This window comes from Homo sapiens, chromosome 11, assembly GCF_000001405.40.
Source record: "Homo sapiens chromosome 11, GRCh38.p14 Primary Assembly".
NCBI lineage: Eukaryota > Metazoa > Chordata > Mammalia > Primates > Hominidae > Homo > Homo sapiens.
Window position 1 is genome coordinate 40,024,242 of NC_000011.10, and position 18,968 is coordinate 40,043,209.

At 37.1% G+C, this 18,968-nt stretch overlaps 1 annotated feature.

Annotated features, from left to right (window-relative positions):
- Positions 6,532–7,082: an enhancer, noted in NCBI's record as "OCT4-NANOG hESC enhancer chr11:40052323-40052873 (GRCh37/hg19 assembly coordinates)". NCBI's record gives its function as "activates a minimal SCP1, AML or CMV promoter by ChIP-STARR-seq in primed H9 embryonic stem cells {active_cell/tissue: H9 hESC(primed)}" and the evidence as "EXISTENCE:reporter gene assay evidence [ECO:0000049][PMID:30033119]".

Genomic DNA, 18,968 nt, shown 5'->3' on the forward strand with positions numbered 1-18,968 from the left:
TTAGTAGCATATCAAGACACAAGGAGAAAAGCTAGTTTTGAAATATTTCTGTATAGGGTTTTTTTTTTTTTAATGGGCATTGTGAAGCATGCATTTGGTAATAGGAATAATGGGAGGAGAAGAGAAGGCGTAGGATTTGTAGATCTACCAGAGAGAAAATCCTCAAATGAAATAAAGAGCAATACAAATCACAATTGTATCAAGTGCTGGATTGTCCTGAACTAACTTGAAAGTCATAAAAGCACAGAGCAAAGAGAGAAGAATCAGAACATAGAGATTAGGGACTTTCGGGAAAATTACTAACTTTACCAGGATGCCATTTTATATCCTCAACACAAGGGCATATTTATGCTGTTTTCCATTTCTAGCTCATTATAATCTATGATCCTCAAACTTCAGCACGCATCAGGAGCTCCTAGAAAGCTTGTTAAAACACAGAATGCTGGGCCTCATTTTCAGAGTTTCTGATTCTGTAGGCCTGGGGTAGGATCCCAGATTTTGTATTTTTAGAAAGTTGAATTGTGATGCTGCTGCTGGCGGCTGGGAGACTACACTAATAAATATGGCAACATTACTTTATTTAGATGCTTTAATATTTTGTCATTTCCATGTGAACAACAATCATTCTCTATTAGATTTTTCAAACTATACTTAACTCTTCAAATAATTTATAAAAAATGTTTCCTTTCTTTCATCCCAGAAATAATATTAAAGCCACAGGATTAGATAAATTCCCCTAATGAGAGATTAATTAGAGAAGAGAGAGGACCCCTGTATTAGTTTGCTAGGGTTGCCATACCAAAGTCTTACAGAGTGGGTCGCTTAAACAATAGACATTTATTTTCTTACAATTCTGCAGGCTAGAAGTTTAAGACCAAGGTGTCAGTAGGGTTGATTTCTTCTGGGGCTTCTTCCCTTTGCTTGTAGATGGATATTTTCCTTTCACATGGTCTTTTTTCTGTACGTGTCTGTGTCCTAATTTCTTCCTCTTAAAAGGACACCAGTCACATTGAATTAGGACTCACCAAAATGACATCATGGTAACTTAATTACCAGTTTAAAGACTCTATATCCAAATAGAGTTACATTCTGAGTACTAGGAGTGAGGCCTTCATGTTATGAATTTGGAGGACACAAAATTCAGTCCATAACATTCCCCAAACCAACATTTTAAGATAAAATAGAAGGAAGCCAGAGAACGTTTCAATGTGAAAGGAAGGAAGACAATCAGGAGTGAGTGTGGTAGAAGAGAAGCCACTCACTATTGCCCAAATTATCAAAATTTAGACAAAAATGACAGATTGTCATGGCTTTATTTTTCTTATGACTAAATATTCAGGTTTGTATAGCAGAAAGTCCAGAACCCTTAGCAACTCTCACCATGATATTGTCCTCATCCCTATTTTTCTGATTTTCAAACTTTGAGTTCATAGTGAGTCATCTAAATTGGCGTGGAGTATGTGAGTGCTGAATTCAAATCTTACATAGGCCAGGTATATTGGCTCATACCTGTCATCCCAGCATATTGGGAGGCTGAGGTGGGAGGATCACTTGAACTCAAGAGCTCGAGACCAGCCTAGGGAATATAGGGAGAGCCCATCTCAATTTTTAAAAAATCTTAAATAACAGTTTCACTAGAAATATTGTAAGAAACTGGGAACAAAGCAATGTTAAGGCTAGATGACACTGTAGTACAAAGGGCATGGAAGGAGGCATCTTTTACATTTGCCTGAAAGGCAGAAATCCTTTGGCAAAATAGGCTTCACATGACAGTGCTACTCTGGGACTGGGAAGACTTCAGAACAAGTGTGGCAGTCAGCACTGTACCAGATCAGCCATGGCAATTAGATAATGCATAATGAGCAGAAGCTGTAGAGATACCTGGGAAGAACCCAGGCCAAATAAAATTCAGCTGTGGAAGCAATTTACTCGCTCAAATCAAGGTAACGGCAGTGCGCTTCACAGGACTGTCTGTAGGCAGGGAAGTAGCCAGAAGAGGAAGAAAATGAGGATGGCTGCCTGAACTTATTCTTGAGGATACATGAGATACATTTATTGGCTTCCCAAAATAACTGAGAAGTTGTTGGCAGGGCATGGGTTTCCCACAATAGCCACTGGTGTCAAGAAGTAGCAAAACATGGACTATGTTAAAAAAAAAAAAAAAAAAAAATGAGGGCAAGAATGAGAGGAAACAGAAAAAAAGAAAAGCATACAGGAACATATCTTTAGTTGTATATGGCTATTCACCACTTACATTTTTAGAAAACAAAGTTCTCTGAACATCAGGTCTTCAGTGATTTCTCTGAGTTGAGAACCTGTATATTTATTTATCACCAAACAATATATTAATGCTCAATTGCTAATTCATTTCCACAAACATGGATAGAAAGCCTGCTATTGTGTAAAGTACTCTGACAGGGACTGGAAAACAAAGATGAATAAGACATTGGCCCTGATTTTTAATAAGCTCATGGTATTGTCAGGTATACACACTGTCAGGCCTTCTCAAACATGTAATGAATATACTATGCTAAAAATGTGTATGGCACTTAAAAAATTTTTTTAGCATAAAGAAAAATAAATACTAATGGCTATTTCAAAAGTGTTCCTGGACACAAGAGTTTTCGTTTTATAGCAGAATAAGAAATTACCAATTTCTAACAGGAAATAAGCACATTCACATATGTCTGGTGCTAGATTCCTGTCTTGAATTATACTAATATAAAGCAAATGGCAGGTCTGAAAATAGAATATGTATTTTGTTTGAATAATCCATTTTTATGATACACATTCAGTTATTACTCTTCCAAGGGAACACAATCCTTAGGTAATTATACAATAAAATAAATCTAGTCTGAAAATGTTACCATAAACCTAGAAAATCCAGATTTACAGGATTGCTTCTGGCTTATTGATATATGATTATTATTATTTTTTTTTTCTTTTTTGAGACAGGATCTCACTCTGTCACCCAGGCTGGAGTGCAGTGGTGTGATCATGGCTTACTGCAGCCTTGACCTCTAGGGCTCAAGCTATCCTCCGACCTCAGCATCCTGAATAGCTGGAACCGTAGGCTTGCACCACCGTGACTGGCTATTTTTTTTTTTTTTTTAATTTTGTAGAGACGAGGTCTCTCTTTGTTGCTTAGGCTGGTCTTTAACTACTCAAGTGATCCTCTTACCTTGGTCTCCCAACATATCAGGGTCGCAGGTATGAGCCACAGCACATGGCCTGATTATTTCAAATTAATAAATCCATTATCGATAATCTGTAGTTTATAACAGTGGTTTGTCTGCCCAACACTTCCTTCCCATTCTGCTGCGGTGGAAGCCCCAGTGCTATTCCTCCTATTCCCTTCATATTGGAGGTGATGGTCAAAACAACAAACACTTCCCTCTGCTCTCCTTCCTTTTCCAGAGATAGATAGACACATGACCCAAACTAGATCAATCAGAGCTCTTCCCTTGGATTTTATATAATGGAAACTGGCGGAAAAGTACTCTCTGTCCGCTCATGAGGCTAAATTGTATAAAAGCCAGAAACAGCATTTGGTTATGATCTTAGATTTGTTGGTACAGCTGGTCTAAGAGAATGAAGTCACAACAGAGAAGTGGAGATGAAAGACAACGAAAGAGAAAATAGAATGAGACCAGATCCGATGTGAAAACAAGAGGCCTGATGACTTTGGCATTCTTGCATCCAGTCATTATGAAACCACTTCCACCTCATCTCTTTTTGAAGTTTGCTTCATGTACCCTTTCCACTTTTAGCTAATTGAACTAGTTTTCTGTAACTTGGCTCAGAATGAGTCTTAACACATTACACGTATATCCCAAAGCTATTATAAATTTACAAAATTTGCATGTTCAACAGTCTTTGTTTTAAAAAACACTGTTTTCATTGACTTTTCTAAGCCTGCGGTAGAATGTAGCTGTTCAAACTTTCCCATTGTCCAATCTCTTAAATATCAGTTCCACAAAAAACCTAAGACAAGTAATCTTCATGGAATATAAGACAAAAAATAGTTGGAACTTGGAATAAATTGTTTGAAGCTATGGTGTTAAATGGATCTGTGACAATAAAGTTTTTCTTGTTTAAGAAAGTTAAATACATTATTTTTGACATTAAACATCAATACCCTCTTGGAACTCTGACTTCGAATTTGACCTAAGCTACTATGGGGGCAACTGCAAAATCCCACAGATTTCCATTGACCAAGTAATTATAGTCACTTCCTTTTATGTAGCAATGTTATATCAAAGTGCTTTAAAATATAATTTGTTTAGCTTGTTCAAAAGGCCAGGAAGCATATATCATCATTGCAATTTTTACTGTACTGACAACAGACCCTGTGCAAGGACACAAAGCTGATAAGTGGCTGTGCAAAATATAAAATGCAGGTCTATATTTCAAAGTTGAGTGTTCACTACAATTATCCTGAAGTATGGAATATAAAGGGTCACTTGTTATGTAGATGCTAACCAGCTAGAGTACTCGAAGCAACTGCACTGACAGTTACAAAAGATTTGAAGGCCAGGCGCAGTGGCTCACGCCTGTAATCCCAGCACTTTGGGAGGCTGAGGCGAGTGGATCACCTGAGGTCGGGAGTTCGAGACCAGACTGACCAACATGGAGAAACCCCCTTCTGTGCTAAATATACAAAATTAGCTGGGCCTGGTGGCGCATGCCTGTAATCCAAGCTACTCAGGAGGCTGAGACAGGAGAATCACTTGAACCCTGTGAGAGGAGGTGCCAGGTGGGCTTCCTGGGTCGAGTAGGGGCTCAGAAAGCTGTGAAACTCACTCATTTCCTGCATCAGGACTTACTTCAGTCCTGGATGAATAATATTGCAGATATATGCTTAAAATATTCCTAACACCAGGATTTGTGCATGTGTTTTCTTCCCCAAGAAAGCTATAAACAGCAAAAATTTTGCTGTAAGTTTCCCTGTGTCCTCTCTCCCTTCCCCTCCTCTGAAACTAAAGTAAAAGGAATGTTAACTGCCCGTTTTTCTGTGACCAGTGGACCTTATCTATACTCCCAATTCCAATTCCTTGTAAACATACTTTGTAAAGTCCTGTAAGATCCTGTCTCCTTTGCCATGCCGCTGCAAGGTCATAAAGTAGATAAAACCTAAGTTGCAATTCCAGTTTTCCTCAAGATCTAAGACATGTCACAAATGGTTAATTGTCTTTGTTTCTCGCTCTGGTAACATCTTCCCACCCCACGTATTTCCCGCCTTAAGGAGTTTAAAAGGCAATCGTATAATCTAACTCTGGCTACCCGTTTGGGAACCCTTCCACGCTGTGGAAGCTTTGTACTTTCACTCTGCTCAGTAAAGCCTACAACTTTTTCCTCTCTCTCGGTCTGTGTCTCCATCACTTGCTGTGGTCAGCAGCCGCACCAATTCTTTGGTGTGGCTAGGCAAGGACCTTAGGCGTTATACCAGGAGGTGGAGGTTGCAGTGAGATCGCGCCATTGCACTCCTGCCTGGGAAACAAGAGCGAAACTCCGCCTCAAAAAAAAAAAAAAAAAAAAAAAAAAAAGCTTTGAATGATACATATTGAGGCTCAGATTACCTGCCATTCATATCACCTGTTGTGCATTGTAACCAAAGCTGAAGAACTGATACAGAAGTCATTTCAAGTTACCAATGCTTGTTGAATAGAACTACATTTTGAAATAAAAGGAAACCCAATTATTCTCTCTCTCTCTCTCTACTTATTTTAAAAGTGATACAATGCCTACACATAAGCATTCCAAGCAATTTTGATGTAGTAGAAAAGTTATAGTCTCAGCTGAGCTATTAAATAACTACCTGAACCAAGGCAAATTATTTAACATCTATTAAAAAATAAATATTGCTCTGAATACTTGTTAAAAATGAGAAGGAAGATTCTATTTAAGACTATGTGATAGGAGAGACAGAGAGAGAGAGAGAGAGAGAGAGAGAGAGACAGAGAGAGAGATATTGAACTCCATTCCACCGGAAAAAAAGAAAAGAGAATTTTTAAATTCTGGGATGAGTCAATGGAAAAGTCTTGGCAAATGTTAAGGGAGAAGCTTGGTCAATGTAATCAGGCCATCTATGTGTTTGCAAATTGTCCCTTCTGGAAGTTATGATCCTATAATCTCATAGAGACTGAGAGACAGGAGACCTATCTTTCTTGATGATTACAATTCAAGGGAATTATTACTAGGTCCTTGAGAAAGACGTTCCTGAGTTGTAGAAGACTGACATCTCAAAGGGTCAGAGAAAGAATTTACAATTGCAAATTTTCTAAAGTAAATACTCAAAGAAAAGAGAGGTCCGGAGCCTATAGTCAGGAAGAAGCCTGTATAGTCAGGCCGAGGGTAATGTTAAGCCCTTCTTGGTCACTATATTCCTTAGTATATTTACATAGAGAGTAAGAATAAAGTTAATTAGTTTACATATTTATTGAGACAATTGAGTAAAAAAATTATGAAATTTCTTAACAAATAGAAGTATCAATATAAATCTAATGGAGTTAATATCCTATAACAATCAATATTATTATAATACAGAAGTAAGATGTGAATCAACAAAATTAGCTCTGTTCACCCGTATTTTCAACCCTCTTGGCTATCTTTAGAGTTTTGACATTTTACAAGCTATGGGAATGTGAGGAGAGGAACTACACTGGAAACAAAGATTGTCTTATTATGCAGATAAAGTCTCTCAGGTAGCAGCCCTCAGAAGACTGAGTGAAAAGTCTATCTGGGCATAAGCTCCTGGGCGTGGAGACCCTTAGTTTCCTCCCCTTCCCCTACAATAGGACTTAATCTTCTCTGGTTAATGTTAACTCCAGGGAGCAGGGTTCATGACAATGGGATTCTTCCTGAGGAACTTCCCTCAGTCAGACAAGGGAAATTTCACAGACAGCCCCTCCCTGTGCTTCAGGAGAGAAAGAGAACGGAGAGACAGAGGAGTAGGGGAAGGTCAGAGAGATCTTGGTTCTGAGACTGCTTTTTCAGTTCTAAGTATTTAGTATGTCAAAGCTCCATACTTTGGGGTGTCATTTTCCAAGCCCACAACTGCCTGTTTTCTGTCCAAAATGATTTTACAGGCAAATTATTTTTTGCACATATTTAAGAACAAATAATTTACATGATATGTAAAAATGATGGAAAGCTTTTCAACTCATGTTATGACTCTGGCATAATCCTAAAAGTTAAATTTTAAAAAAAATTATAGCAGAAAATAAAAGAAAGGAACATATTACATATCTATGCTCCTTATATGTCTGTATATATGCACATAAGTCTAATACATATAATCTTAAATAACATAACTGAAAAGAAAAATGTATGAGGCTCAAGAAAGGTTCATTTCATAAATTCCAAATTGGAAAATATTTTATATAATTCACTGCATAGATATATCACAATAGAATAAAACTTTATAAAAGATGCTTAAATATATATATATATATATATATAAAATAATACATGTATATTTAAATTAAAAGCCCTAACTAAACTAGGAACAATGGAGAATTTCTGAATATAATAAGTTTAAATCTGGGTGGTTTGACTAGCTTCTCTGATTGAAGTCTCACAAGGTTAAATTCAAGGTGTCAACATGACTGGTTATTATCTGAAGAGTTTAGAAAAGATCCTGCTTCTAAACTTATTTAGATAATGAGCAACATTCAGTTCCTTGAGGTTGTAGGACTGAGATCCCTAGCCCCTTACTAGATGTCAACAAAGGGATGTTCTCTGCCCCTTGCTTCTGTGCAGGTATATTTTTATTATTAAAAGAACTCTTACACACAATAAACTAAAATGCATGCCCAATAGAAAAGTATTCACAAATTAAAAGCTTAAAAAAAAACTATAAATAGGAAAAACATCATAAGACTTATTAATAATAAGAAAGAAAAAACAGTATAATTTGTTTTTGTATCAATAAAAGACAATGTAAAAGATTGATTTGGCTGTATATTTCTTAGGTCTTAAAATTGTTCCTCACATTTGCTCCAGAAATGTTACCTCTAGTTACTTATCCTAAGAAAATGGTTAAATATTGTAATTGCCCATATCCTAAGGAAATGATTAAATATTGTAATTACCCACTGCCCAGAAAAGCCAAAGTATTGAGAACAGCAGGTTTTTGCAATAGAGAGTTTAAAAAATGCAGAGCTGGCTAAGTGGAAGTACAGGAGTTCTTTTTCATTCAAATCATCCTCCCCAAAAGTTCAGAGGCTAGGGTGTTTTTAAGGATAGTTTGGAGGGCAAGGGAACTAGGAAATGACGAATGCTGATTGGTTGCATCCAGGATGAAACCACAGGAAGCTTATCTTATTGTGCTGAATCAGTTCGTGGGTGGGGCTGCAAGACCAGATGAGCCAGTTTATTGGTCTGGATGGTGCTAGCTGGGCCATCAGAATGCAGAGTCCGAAAAATACCTGGATCATCAGTCTTAGGTTTTACAGTAGTGATGTTATCTATAGAAACAATTGGGTAAGTTGGGAGTCTTGTAGTTTGTGGCTGCATAACTCTTGAGGCATAATTTCTAAACTTGTAACTAATTTGTTCATTTCACAAAGGTGATCTGGTCCCCAAGAGGGAGTTTGTTTGGGGAAGGGGCTGTTATTATCTTTGTGTCAAAGTTAAACTATAGACTAAATTCCTCCCATAATTAGCTTGGCCTATACCCAGGAATGAACAAGGGCAGCTTGGGAGTTAGAAGCAAGGAGTTGGTTAGGTCAGATTTCTTACGGTTAAAATTTTCCTATGTCAGATTTTTCTCACTGTCATAATTTTTGCAAACACTGTTTGAATACCACACAAAAATCTGTCTATAGTCATACTCTGCACAGCTTTTTTTTTTTTTTAATAATAGCAAAACTTTGGTAGCATGAAATCATTCAACACTTCAAGGTTAAATAAATTTAATACAACCATATATGTGGATGCCATTAAAAATGTAAACCTGGAAATACACTATTTAATAAATGAATTGTAAGTTTAAAAAGCAAACAATAAAGGATTGTGCAGAGTATATTCCCATTTGGAGAAAACATATCTATATACTTGCATAGAAATATTATGGAAAAATATACATAAGCATAGTAACATTAATTGCATATGTGTTATAGGTAATTGGTGTTTGTGAAAATTTGTTTATTTTCTAAATCAACAGTGTGGACTCACTGTTAAATTGCAGTTCTGTCTACTAAAGTAGGAGCATTTTAAAGACAGCGTTTAGGTCTTACTCAAAAATCTCCTTGACAATCTACCTCTGACAGGTGCTTTGTAAATGTGCATTATAGAAGTGGGCACATCTATTGAAAACCTTCTTGTTACTCTTTTGAAATAAGAAAGATTAATCTTGCCTGATTCCTAGATACTCTGTCATCAAATTTTTTACCTTTTTTGGGGGGGGGGGTGGGGATGGAGGGAAACAGTTCATCTCCTTAGGTGTGAAAAGGAAGACTTTTAGGCTACATCAAAGTAAAAATTCACAGGTACTCCTCTGTAGCATGCTAGGAAGAAATAAAATAGAAATATGTGACAACATTTGTTACTCTGCAGGGTTCTAGAAAGAATGTTTGACCTAAATACTATGAAACTAAATTACATTAGAACACAAATTGATTTGATGCAGTGGAAAGATTTGGGGTTTACTTTGTTTGGAAAGAAGTTGGAATTTTACCATTTCTTCTTCAATTTTCAAGCAACTCTAAATAAGTGTTTTGGAATGAACCACATTCACCTTGCCACTCATTTAGCTTATTTAGTTTGAAAACATTTACATAGTAAAAAGCTGTTAATGACATCCTGATAACCCTGGAGCTATGAGTAAAGAGATTGCTGCTTTGTGCTAAACGTACATTTTACCCTTTTACATCTTCTAAATACCTCTATTGCTAATGACTTTTTTCATCCTGAAATTCATATTTCCTAAGCAACCTGAAAACATAAGATAGTCTTGGAGGGACAATTGCTATTAAAATTAGCTGTCTTTCCCAATCAGCAAACGAAGAGAATTTTGTTCAGGGGAAATCTTAGTTCTATTAAAGGAAATTGAACTGGAAGTTTTTATTGCCTGATGGAATATTGTCTTAAAGGTGATCTAAAGGACAGTTTATGCATCAAACATTCTGTTTTTAGTCTGGTTTTCTTTTGCAGATGGTCTTTAAAGTGATAACATTTTTATGGATTTTGTGGTGGTGAGAAAAAAAGCAGAGAGAGGCTAAATGCAAATATTACCTAAAATTTAGATGTAAAATTGACGTGGAAACTTATGTTTCTAATGGTTCTAATGGTTCTAATATGTAGCAAAGCATGGTTAAATTTTCTTAAGTTTGGTCTGTTTATTTCCACTGCATTTTACTCCAATGTACATATTGGATAAAATACAATTTACAAAAAGGCTTTTTACACATAGTCCAGAAATTGAAGGATGAGGTGTGTTTGCTTCAGAAACATCCTTTCCTGGCATCCATTAAGATGTGCTCACCAAGGTTAGGCCTTGCTACGTGCTAATGTCTCCTGCTGAGGCCTACAGCCCCTCTCTCCTCTCTGGTTGCTGTGTCTGTCACAAGGTTCCAGTCAGAAAGCAGAGTGTACTTTTCTCCTGTTCTGGCTTCCCCAGATTTATGTGAGATTGTCTTAACCATCTTTTGCCATTTCTGAGTTTAAAATCAAGTAACGAGAAGGTTCAGGCCCCTTTTTCAGGTGCTCATAGCAATGACCAAATCTAAGCTTCTACCTGTGGAATGTTCCTAAGCTGTCTGCCCTGGGTTCTAGTGAGAAGAAAGTTTTCCTCACGGCGCAGTTTATAAAACACTCATGGTTCCTGATGGGTCATAAAGTAATCTGCAGAATATAGATAGCCCTCTATATATAGAGAGAGAGAGAATAAATTCTGATTTTCTTATCTTTTTCTCTTGCCCAGATTCCTATCTAAGGGGTCTGGGGGAGCCACGCCCTACAAGCCATACATTCTCATCAGATGGATTCTATTTAATCCTATATATCGTGACTTATTTTCTGACATGACTCTGGCATAACAGAACAAGACAAGGAAGAAAATCAAAATATTTTACCCCCAAAAACATATTTTTGTCACATTTTGAAATGGTTCTGCAAGCTGTCCTTTGTGGGATAAAATTCACATCTGTAAATAATCCCTATTAACATAGCTAGACCTTTTCCTTCCAGGCCCCTCCCAATCCTAAAGAGATTAACTAAAAGTCTAACACCTTTTAAAGATCTGAATAGGAAACATTTGTCATCTATTGTCTCTAAGGGCAGCCACTATAAGACTTCAAAGGAAATTCAGTCTCCACAATGTTTTATCTTAATCTGAACATTTTCTTTCTATAATGCCCAGGTCTTTAGACAAACTCAACCAATCGTCAACCAGAAAATGTTTAAATTTACCTATAGCCTGAAGGCCCCCTTCTTCCCTGCCTCCCGCTTTGAGTTGCCCCGTCTTTCTGGACCAAACCAATGTATTTCTTAAATGTATTTGATTGACGTTTCATGCCTCCTTAAAATACATAAAACAAAGCTTCACCCCGACCACCTTGGACACATGTTCTCAGGACCTCTTGAGGACTGTGTCATGGGCCATGGTCACTCATATTTGGCTCAGAACAAATCTCTTTAAATATTTCACAGAGTTTGACTCTTTTTGTTGACATACATACCAAATAACTTGCAGACTACTTTACTATTACAGACCTCATATGTATATGTATATATGTGTATACACATATGTATGTACATGTATTACATTATATACATTATATTACATACATATTTATGTACATGTATTACATTATATACAATTTTATTTACATACTAGATTCATAATTTTCCAATAATTTCACAAATATGAAATGTAAGATTTTTTTAAATGATTTTTCTCATAAGTCTCATTCCCATTTTCATGACTGTTAAGCTTTTAAATGCTATTTATATAAAACACTGTACTAGTTAGGTCATCTTACCCGAGATGCATTTAAAAGAGTGTGAACTGTGTTAATATATTTTCACCTCATCTTTTCCTTCATATTTTAATTTACTTTACATATCTCTCTGCACTGTCATCCAAAAGACCACCAGGATGGCTACACAGCAGAAAGGAGAGCTTTATTGGTAATATCAGTTTGCAAGCCAGGAAGAGAAAGTCTCCAGTATGAACCAAAGGTGCCCTCTCTTCGAAGAGGGAAAATGACAGTGTATTATTTCATTCTCACGCACTGCTATAAAGAACTACCTGAGACTAGGCAATTTATGGAAAAAAAAAAAGAGGTTTAATTGACTGTTCAATTCAATTCAACTGTTCAATTCACTGTTCCGTAGGCTGTACAGGAAGCATGGCTGGGAGGCCTCGGGGAACTTACAATCATGGCGGATGGAGAAGGGGAAGCAAACATGTCTTACTATGGCACAGCAGGAGAAAAAGATGGTGAAGGAGGAAATGCTACACACTTTCAAACCACTAGCTCTCCTGAGAACTTTATCACAAGTACAGCAAGGGGGAAGCCCACCCTTATAATTCAATCACCCCCCACCAGGCTCCTCCTTCAACACAAGGGATTACAATTCAACATGAGATTTCAGTAGGAACACAGAAACAGACCATATAAGACAGTTTGTGTTTTTTGCTACACAGGGCTGGTATTATCCAATCCAGCAGACTTTGGGGGAAAGCTATACATATTTATGATGGGAGCCAAACGCATGCACAATGGGTAAACATGTATGTAACATACACCCCATGTTCACTTTGGGGCAGGGTTTTAGCATTAAAATGAGGTAGAATTGGGCTCTTTACATGAATAGGTGAACTAAAGGACACAAAGACAGTTTGTGCACAAACTCTACAAGCTGGCTGAAACTGGTTTAAGGTCTGCAATTGCTTATCAGGAAAGCATGTTTGCACGTCTGGTCCTCTGTCCAATCAGAGTTGTAGTGGTCTGGGTTGAGTCAGCCTGATAGCTTCTATTGTTAGGGAGTACAGCTTCTATTGTTAGGGAGTATTTTCTTATAGTCATAGGAATGTAGAAATTTGCCCTGCCAGCAGGCCCAGAGCTCTCGACCTGTAGGTAATTTTTGTTTCCTTAACCTTAAGGCCTTAGTTGATAAAGGGGTGTTTATTTTGGTGTCTTAGATCACAGCACTAATTCACATTAAATGTGGATTCAATCTTTTGTTCTTCATGAGCATTATAAATTAATGGATGGTCTTTATCTTCATTGTTAATAAAACCTCTTGGTTGTTTAAAAATGTTTAAAAAATATATGTATTTTTAAGTTTTGTATAAAATCTTGATCAATGTGCATATGTTTTCTTTAAAAAATACACCTACATTCAAAAGCTTCACCCTAATGTTTCATAAAATTATATAATAGAAAACGCTTTTGGGGTTCAGATAATAATCAAGGCTCTACAAAACTTGTTTTATTTATTCAACAAATATTAGTTGAGCACTTATTATATGCCATAACAGCTTTAATATTTGGAATAAATATAATAAAAATACATATACCCAATTAAAAGATGATAAGAGCTGAGAGAAGAAAAGGTAAAGAAAGGTGATAACGACTTAATATAAGGGATTGGAAATATGTGCAATTTTAAATAAATTTGTCAGAGGAGACTTGTTGAAAAGTTGACATTTGAGAAACAACAATTACATAAAATATTTAGCCATGTAGCTATCTGGGGAAGAATATTTCAGGATGAAGGAACAGCCAAGACAAAGGCACTAAGGTGGCTTTTCTATTATGTTTAAGAATGACCAAGAAGGACAAAGCATAGTAAGTAAAGAAGAGTAGATGATTAAGAAAGGACAGGTGACATGGTGGTGATGGATCATACAGGACTTGTGGGCCATTACTTAGGCTTTTACACTGCATGAAATAGGGAGCTATTACAGAGTTTTGTACAAAGAAACATGATTAGCCTTACATCTTAAAATAGTTACTTTGGCTCTCTGTTGATAATTATTTGGAATGGTATAGGAAGAGATGTCAAAGGGGAACACCAATTAGAACACTATTGTAATAATTCACTGAGCAATGATGGTGACTTGGAACTTGGACAAGGATGGTGGTAAATCAATGGTGAAAAGCAGTCATACTGAATATATTCGGTTGTTCCTACTAGATTGGGTGTGGGATGAGAAAGCCAGAAGTAAAAGATCACTCCAAGATTTTTGGCCTAATCAAGTGGAAGGATCAAGTCATGAGTTCAGCTGTGAAAGGCTGTGAGTGGTACAGATTTTTAGGACTGTCATATTTAACAAATAAAAATAGAAGACACTTTATAAATTTGAATATCAGATAATATGTGTAACATACTTGTACTTCAATAAATTTTTTTTTAAATTCATATTTAACTGGGTAATATGTATTTTATGTGACAAGCCTAAGTGAGGGGACAAAAAAGAGTCTGGGTTTAGATATGACTGACAGGAAGAATGGAACCAAGTTGGAAAACACTCTGCAGGATACTATGCAGGAGAACTTCCCCAATCTAGCAAGGCAGGCCAACATTCAAATTCAGGAAATACAGAGAACGCCACAAAGATACTCCTCAAGGAGAGCAACTCCAAGACATATAATTGTCAGATTCACCAAAGTTGAAATGAAGGGAAAAATATTAAGGGCAGCCAGAGAGAAAGGTCGGGTTACCCACAAAGGGAAACCCATCAGACTAACAGCAGATCTCTTGGCAGAAACTCTACAAGCCAGAAGAGAGTGGGGGCCAATATTCAACATTTCTAAAGGAAAGAATTTTCAACCCAGAATTTCATATCCAGCCAAACCAAGCTTCATAAGTGAAGGAGAAATAAAATCCTTTAAAGACAAGCAAATGCTGAGAGATTTTGTCACCACCAGGCCTGCCTTACAAGAGCTCCTGAAGGAAGCACTAAACATGGAAAGGAACAACCGGTACCAGCCACTGCAAAAACACGCCAAATTGTAAAGACCACTGATGCTAGGAAGAAACTGCATCAACTAACGACAAAAATAACCAGCTAACATCATAATCACAGGATCAAATTCACACATAACAATATTAACCTTAAATGTAAATGGGCTAAATGCTCCAATTAAAAGACACAGAGTGGTAAATTGGATAGAGTCAAGACCCATCAGAGTGCTGTATTCAAGAGACCCATCTCATGTGCAGAAATACACATAGGCTCAAAATAAAGGGATGGAGGAAGATCTACCAAGCAAATGGAAACCAAAAAAAAGCAGGGGTTAGAATTCTAGTATCTGATAAAACAGACTTTTATTTTTATTTTTTAATTTTCTTTTTCCTTTTTTTATTGTATTTTAAGTTCTAGGGTACAGGTGCACAGCGTGCAGGTTTGTTACATATGTATACATGTGCCATGTTGGTGTGCTACACCCATTAACTCGTCATTTATATTAGGTATATCTCCTAATGCTATCCCTCCCACCTCCCCCCACCCCATGACAATCCCTGGTGTGTGACGATCCCCACCCTATGTCCAAGTGTTCTCATTGTTCAATTCCCACTTATGAGTGAGAACATGCGGTGTTTAGTTTTCTGTCCTTGTGATAGTTTGCTCAGAATGACAGTTTCCAGCTTCATCCATGTCCCTACAAAGGACATGAACTCATCCTTTTTACGGCTACACAGTATTCCATGGTGTGTATGTGCCACATTTTCTTAATCCAGTCTATCACTGTTGGACATTTGAGTTGGTTCCAAGTCTTTGCTATTGTGAATAGTGCCACAATAAACATACGTGTGCATGTGTCTTCTTAGCAGCATGATTTATAATCCTTTGGGTATATACCCAGTAATGGTATGGCTGGGTCAAATGGTACTTCTAGTTCTACATCCTTGAGGAATCACCACACTGTCTAACACAATGGTTGAACTAGATTACAGTCCCACCAACAGTATAAAAGTGTTCCTATTGCTCCCCATCCTCTCCAGCACCTGCTGTTTCCTGATTTTTTAATGAGCACCATTCTAACTGGTTTGGATTTGCATTTCTCTGATGGCCAGTGATGATGAGCATTTTTTCATGTGTCTTTTGGCTGCATAAATGTCTTCTTTTGAGAAGTGTCTGATCATATCCTTTACCCACTTTTTGATGGGGTTGTTTGATTTTTTCTTGTGAATTTGTAAAACAGACTTTAAACCAACAAAGATCAAAAGAGACAAAGAAGGCCATTACATAATGGTAAAGGGATCAATTCAACAAGAAGAGCTAACTATTCTAAATATATATACAACCAATATAGGAGCACCCAGATTCATAAAGCAAGTCCTTAGAAACCTACAAAGAGACTTAGACTCCCACACAATAATAATGGGAGACATTAACACCCCACTGTCAACATTAGACAGATCAACGAGACACAAAGTTAACAAAGATATCCAGGAACTGAACTCACTCTGCACCAAGCAGACCTAATACACATCTACAGAACTCTCCACCCCAGATCAACAGAACATACATTCTTCTCAGCACCACATCACATTTATTCCAAAATTGACCACATAGTTAGAAGTAAAGCACTCCTCAGCAAATGCAAGAGAACAGTAATTATAACAAACTGTCTCTCAGACCACAGTGCAATCAAACTAGAACTCAGGATTAAGAAACTCACTCAAGACTGCTCAGCTACATGGAAACTGAACAACCTGCTCCTGAATGACTACTGGGTACTTAATGAAATGAAGGCAGAAATAAAGATGTTCTTTGAAACCAATGAGAACAAAGACACAACATACCAGATTCTCTGCACACATTTAAAGCAGTGTGTAGAGGAAAATTTATAGCACTAAATGCCTACAAGAGAAAGCAGGGAAGATCTAAATTGACACCCTAACATCACAATTAAAAGAACTAGAGAAGCAAGAGCAAACATATTCAAAAGCTAGCAGAAGGCAAGAAATAACTAAGATCAGGGAAGAATTGAAGGAGATAGACACACAAAAAGCCCTTCAAAAAAATCAATGAATCCAGGAGCAGGTTTTTCGAAAAGATCAACAAAATTGATAGCCCACTAGCAAGACTAATAAAAAAGAAAAGAGAGAAGAATCAAATAGATGCAATAGAAAATAATAACGGGGATATCACTACTGATCCCACAGAAATACAAAGTACCATCAGAGAATACTATAAACACCTCTATGCAAATAAACTAGAATATCTAGAAGAAATGGATAAATTCCTGGACACATACAGCCTCCCAAGACTAAACCAGGAAGAAGTTGAATACCTGAATAGACTAATAACAGGCTCTAAAATTGAGGCAATAATTAATAGCCTACCAACCAAAGTCCAGGACCAGACGGATTCACATCTGAATTCTACCAGAGGTAAAAAGATGAGCTGGTACCACTCCTTCTGAAACTATTCCAATCAATAGAAAAAGAGGGAATCCTCCCTAACTCATTTTATGAGGCCAGCATCATCCTGATACCAAAGCCTGGCAGAGACACAACCAAAAAAGAGAATTTTAGACCAATATCCCTGATGAACATTGATGCAAAAATCCTCAATAAAATACTGGCAAACCGAATCCAGCAGCACATCAAAAAGCTTATCCACCATGATCAAGTGGGCTTCATCCCTGGGATGCAAGGCTGGTTCAACATATGCAAATCAATAAACGTAATCCATCATATAAACAGAACCAAAGACAGAAAACACATGATTATCTCATTAGATGCAGAAAAGGCCTTTGACAAAATTCAACAGCCCTTCATGCTAAAAACTCTCAATAAGCTATGTATTGATGGGACGTATCTCAAAATAGTAGGAGCTATATACGACAAACCCACAGCCAATATCATACTGAATGGGCAAAAACTGGAAGCATTCCCTTTGAAAACTGGCACAAGACAGGGATGCCCTCTCTCACCACTCCTATTCAGCATAGTGTTGGAAGTTCTGGCCAGGGCAATCAGGCAGGAGAAAGAAATAAAGGGTATTCAATTAGGAAAAGAGGAAGTCAAATTGTCCCTGTTTGCATATGACATGATTGTATATCTAGAAAACCGCAAGGTTTCAGCCCAAAATCTCCTTAAGCTAATAAGCAACTTCAGCAATCTCAGGATACAAAATCAATGTGCAAAAATCACAAGCATTCTCATACACCAATAACAGACAAACAGAGCCAAATCATGACTGAACTGACATTCACAATTGCTTCAAAGAGAATAAAATACCTAGGAATCCAACTTACAAGGGATGTGAAGGACCTCTTCAAAGAGAACTACAAACCACTGCTCAATGAAATAAAAGAGGATACAAATACATGAAAGAACATTCCATGCTCATGGATAGGAAGAATCAGTATCGTAAAAATGGCCATGCTGCCAAGGTAATTTATAGATTCAATGCCATCCCCATCAAGCTACCAATGACTTTCTTCACAAAATTGGAAAAAAACTACTTTAAAGTTCATATGGAACCAAAAAGGAGCCCGCATTGCCAAGACAATCCTAAGCCAAAAGAACAAAGCTGGAGGCATCATGCTACCTGACTTCAAACTACTACAAGGCTACAGTAACCAAAACAGCATGGTACTGGTACCAAAACAGAGATATAGATCAATGGAACAGAACAGAGCCCTCAGAATTAATACCACACATCTGCAACCATCTGATCTTTGACAAACCTAACAAAAACAAGAAATGGGGAAAGTATTCCCTATTTAATAAATGGTGCTGGGAAAACTGGCTAGCCATATGTAGAAAGCTGAAACTGGATCCCTTCCTTACACCTTATACAAAAATTAATTCAAGATGGATTAAAGACTTTAATGTTAGACCTAAAACCATGAAAACCCTAGAAGAAATCCTAGGCAATACCATTCAGGCCATAGGCATGGGCGAGGACTTTATGTCTAAAACACCAAAAGCAATGGCAACAGAAGTCAAAATTGATAAATGGGATCTAATTAACCTAAAGAGCTTCTGCACAGCAA